At 43.0% G+C, this 3,737-nt stretch overlaps 1 annotated feature.

Moving 5' to 3' along the window:
• Nucleotides 701–875: a silencer, noted in NCBI's record as "fragment chr12:105655901-105656075 (GRCh37/hg19 assembly coordinates)". NCBI's record gives its function as "represses an EF-1alpha promoter that drives an FKBP-Casp9 reporter gene in an ReSE screen in K562 erythroleukemia cells {active_cell/tissue: K562}" and the evidence as "EXISTENCE:reporter gene assay evidence [ECO:0000049][PMID:32094911]".

The following is a 3,737-nucleotide window of genomic DNA, read 5'->3' on the forward strand; positions in this document are numbered from 1 at the left end:
GAGAAAACTTAGAGTTGACTGTGACAAGTCTTGATGTCTTTCATCATGCCTTTGGATAACAATTTAAACAACAGGGACAGTGCTGTTACAAAACTAAAATTATAAATATGGAAGCCATCATATGTCAAAACTGGATGCAAAATATTTTGAAGGCATTGCTTCCTAAAAGAAAACAAAGTAACTCTAGTTCATCAGAATCCAGGGAAGAAGAGAAAACCTATCCAGCCATCTGTAGTACAGCTGAGTCTGCGACATGTGACATGTACCATCCAGCATGTGACATGTACCTTCCAGGGGTTGCTTTGGGAGCCTCGGAGAAACTTGGAGTACATACAAGAGAAAAATACAAGGTCCGTATACAAAATATGCTACTCTCAGCAGGAAAAATAAGGGCAAAATAAAATGATGTAAAAGTAGCAGCCGCTTTAGGCTTCTTTGTTCCATGTTGGGGAGGGGTTTTTTTTTAATGCTAATAAACTTGAAGGGCCCATTTTGAAATAATTTCATTATGTGACTGTCAAGAAAATGCCACAAAAGTCTCACAGACATAAATAACTGCCATCTTCAATTTGTAAAACGTCTTATTGCCCACTGGTTTTGTATTCTAGAGAGCTTAATGCTTTTTCTCTATCCTTTTACTTGTACTGTTAATTCCCTCTGCTTTTACATTCTTAAGGAAAGGGTTTTCATTTCACAAGTCAGGTAGGGTTTTCTCAGTGTTTTGGACTTTCACATCCTGGGAACTTTTGTTTTTGACTGCTAAGAACCCATCAACCTCCTGGCTAGGGTCTTCCTGTACCCAAGCTGTGCCCAGGTTTCCAGTATAAGAGGTTGCAAAGTAACAAACTCAGTCTGAGGGGCTGGGTGGCATTGAGCATGCAGATCCAAGGTTTGACTACTGCCACTGCCACTCTGTGTGACGTTGGATAACTGACTTACCCACTCTGTGCCTCAGGGGCGTCGTTGTAAATTGGGGGTAATGAGAGTGCCTACCTCATGAGGTTACTGAGAGGATGAAGTGATTGGCTGGCACATTGTGAGTACTAGGGAAATGTTAGCTATTACCATTATTGCATTCTAATATCCCAGTAAGATATTTACGTTTGTGGCAAATATTCCTTAATATGTTCTTTAATCTGATGTGTACTGAAGTGGAGAGTTCAGTTATTGAAGTTGAAAGATCTTGGCTTGAGGCTCAACATTGCCACATTCTAAATATGTCACTTTGGGCAAAATATGGAACCCATCTGGGCTTCAGTTTTCTCAACCATGAAATATGCAGGGGATGGGGAGCTGGATAATTTCTCATTTATTCATTTAACAAATATTTGTCGAGCACTTAACATTCATCTCCAAAATCTATATGATAGTTGTAAGCATTTTATGTGGACTCGATATGATCCCAGGTGTTACTTTTGCAAGTAGAGTTGTTTGTCAGGGGTTCTCCCTCATTGCATTTTTCTCATGCAGATGAGCAGTGGATTTAATGTTTCTGTGGCTTAGGGATCTCTTTGGGTATCTGGGGAATGCAGAGCAACCTCTCCACACGCCGACATACACACAGGCCAGACAGAATTTGGGCACAACCTAGGGGCTGGCTGACAGCTTTGCAGTCTATTTGTGGCTCTCTGGGGCCCTAAGAGCAGTGTACAGATTGAGAGTTGGACCACTCAGATTCTGCCTAGCTGGGAATCCTGGAAATCAGTAGGAAAAGGAATATGGTGGCAGCTACCCATTTGAAGATCAACTGAATAAGACACGAAACACTAACACAGGCAGAAAGGTCTCTGTCAACCAGCTGGCAACTCCTGCTACAGGTGAAATCAGGGAATGAAAACTTTTTTTATCTTTCTGCAAGACTAAGTCTTGCTATGTTACCTAGGCTGGAGAGTAGTGGCGTGGTCATAGCTCACTGCAGCCTCGAACTCCTGGGCTCAAGCACTCCTCCTATCTCAGCCACCCGAGTAGGTGGCACTACAGGCACACACACTACACTTGGCTAATTTTTAAATCTTTGTGTAGAGGCAGGATCTCATTATGTTGCCAAGGCTGGTCTCAAACTCCTGGCCTCAAGTAATCCTCCTGCCTTGGCCTCCCAAAGTGCTAGGATGAGAAGCGTGAGCCACTGCACCTGTAAGGAACGAAAACCTTAAAAAATGAGGTGTATGTGGATCATCTAACTCCCCTGCTCAAACCCTCCCATGTTCCCATTACACATGCTGTAGAATCCAAGGTCCTCTCCATGGCCTGTAGGGCTGTACCTGGTGGGGCCCCGGGCCCCCTTATTTCACTCCAACAATGCCACCCTATTGTGTTTCCAAACACACGCAGTAGGCTCCCTTTCCTTCTGTTTGGGGCTTTCTTAACCTAGATCTTCTCATGAAGCCTTTCTTGTGACTCAGGTCTCAGCCCACTGAATCTAAAGTAGTTCCCAGACACTCTCTATTGTGTATGTTTCTTCTCTTCCCGCCACTTGTCACCATCACAGTTTCCATATTTATGTATATGTTTATTGTTGGTTTCCAACATGAAAGATATACTTCTTATGAGAGTAGAAGGAACTTTGTCCCATTCCTTGCTGTATTCTCAAGGTTAAGCAGAGTACCCAGCACACAATTGGAGCTTGATCAGAAGTTGTCAGTTAAATGAATGAATAAATACACGGGTGAGTGAGGACAGTCATTGGGAAACTTGCCCTCCTCTCCATTCTATTAGGTTGGTGCAAAAGTAATTGCAAAAAGTAATTGCAAAAGTAATTGTACCAATCTAATAGAATGGAGGGGAGAGCAGGTTTGCTGACACCACCAAATGCTGGCAAGGATGTAGAGCAACAGGAGCTCTCATTCATTGCTGGTGGGAATGCAAAATGATACAGCCACTTTGGAAGACAGTTTGGCTGTTTCTTACAGAAATACACGTACTTTTACCATATGATCCAGCAATTGTGCTCCTTGGTATTGACCCAAATGAATTAAAAACTTATGTCCACACAAAAACCTGCACATGGATGTTAATAGCAGCTTTAATAATAATTAACAAAAGTTGGAAGAAACCAAGATGTCTTTCAGTAGGTGAATGGATACATTACTTTTATGGCAAAAGTCTCAATTACTTTTGTGCCAACCTAATAATATCATGCTATTAACAGAGGAGGCGGCGTGGGGTGAGGAAATGCCACTAAGAAAGTCTCAGATGAGTCTCAGCATCAAGGTGATGTGGCACATTGAGGAACACAGAACCTGGATCAGCCTGGCTAGATTCAGTCCGTATCTCTGTGCTGTCTGGTAAGTTCTTAAGAGTACCATATACTAACTGATTGCACCACTGGAGCTACAGGTAAGTTCTTTAAACTCTCTGCAAAATGGAGGTGATAGTAAAAGTACCTGCTACTGTTTTGAGTACTAAATACAATCATACATACAAAGCTCTTAGAATAGTGGCTAGCAGGTGGGCACGGTGGCTCATGCCTGTAATTCCAGCACTTTGGGAGACGGAGGTGGGAGGATCACTTGAGCCCAGGAGTTGGAGATCAGCCTGGGCAACATGATGAAACCATGTCTCTACACAAAATACAAAAAATTAGCTGGGTGTGGTGGTGTGCGCTTGTAGTTGCAGCTACTCAGGAGGCTGAGGTGGGAGGATGACTTGAGACCAGGAGATAGAAACTTCAGTGAGCCATGATCGCACCACTGCACTTCAGCCTGGGGGATAGAGTGAGACTCTGTCTCAAAAAAAAA

This window comes from Homo sapiens, chromosome 12, assembly GCF_000001405.40.
Source record: "Homo sapiens chromosome 12, GRCh38.p14 Primary Assembly".
NCBI classification, from domain to species: domain Eukaryota; kingdom Metazoa; phylum Chordata; class Mammalia; order Primates; family Hominidae; genus Homo; species Homo sapiens.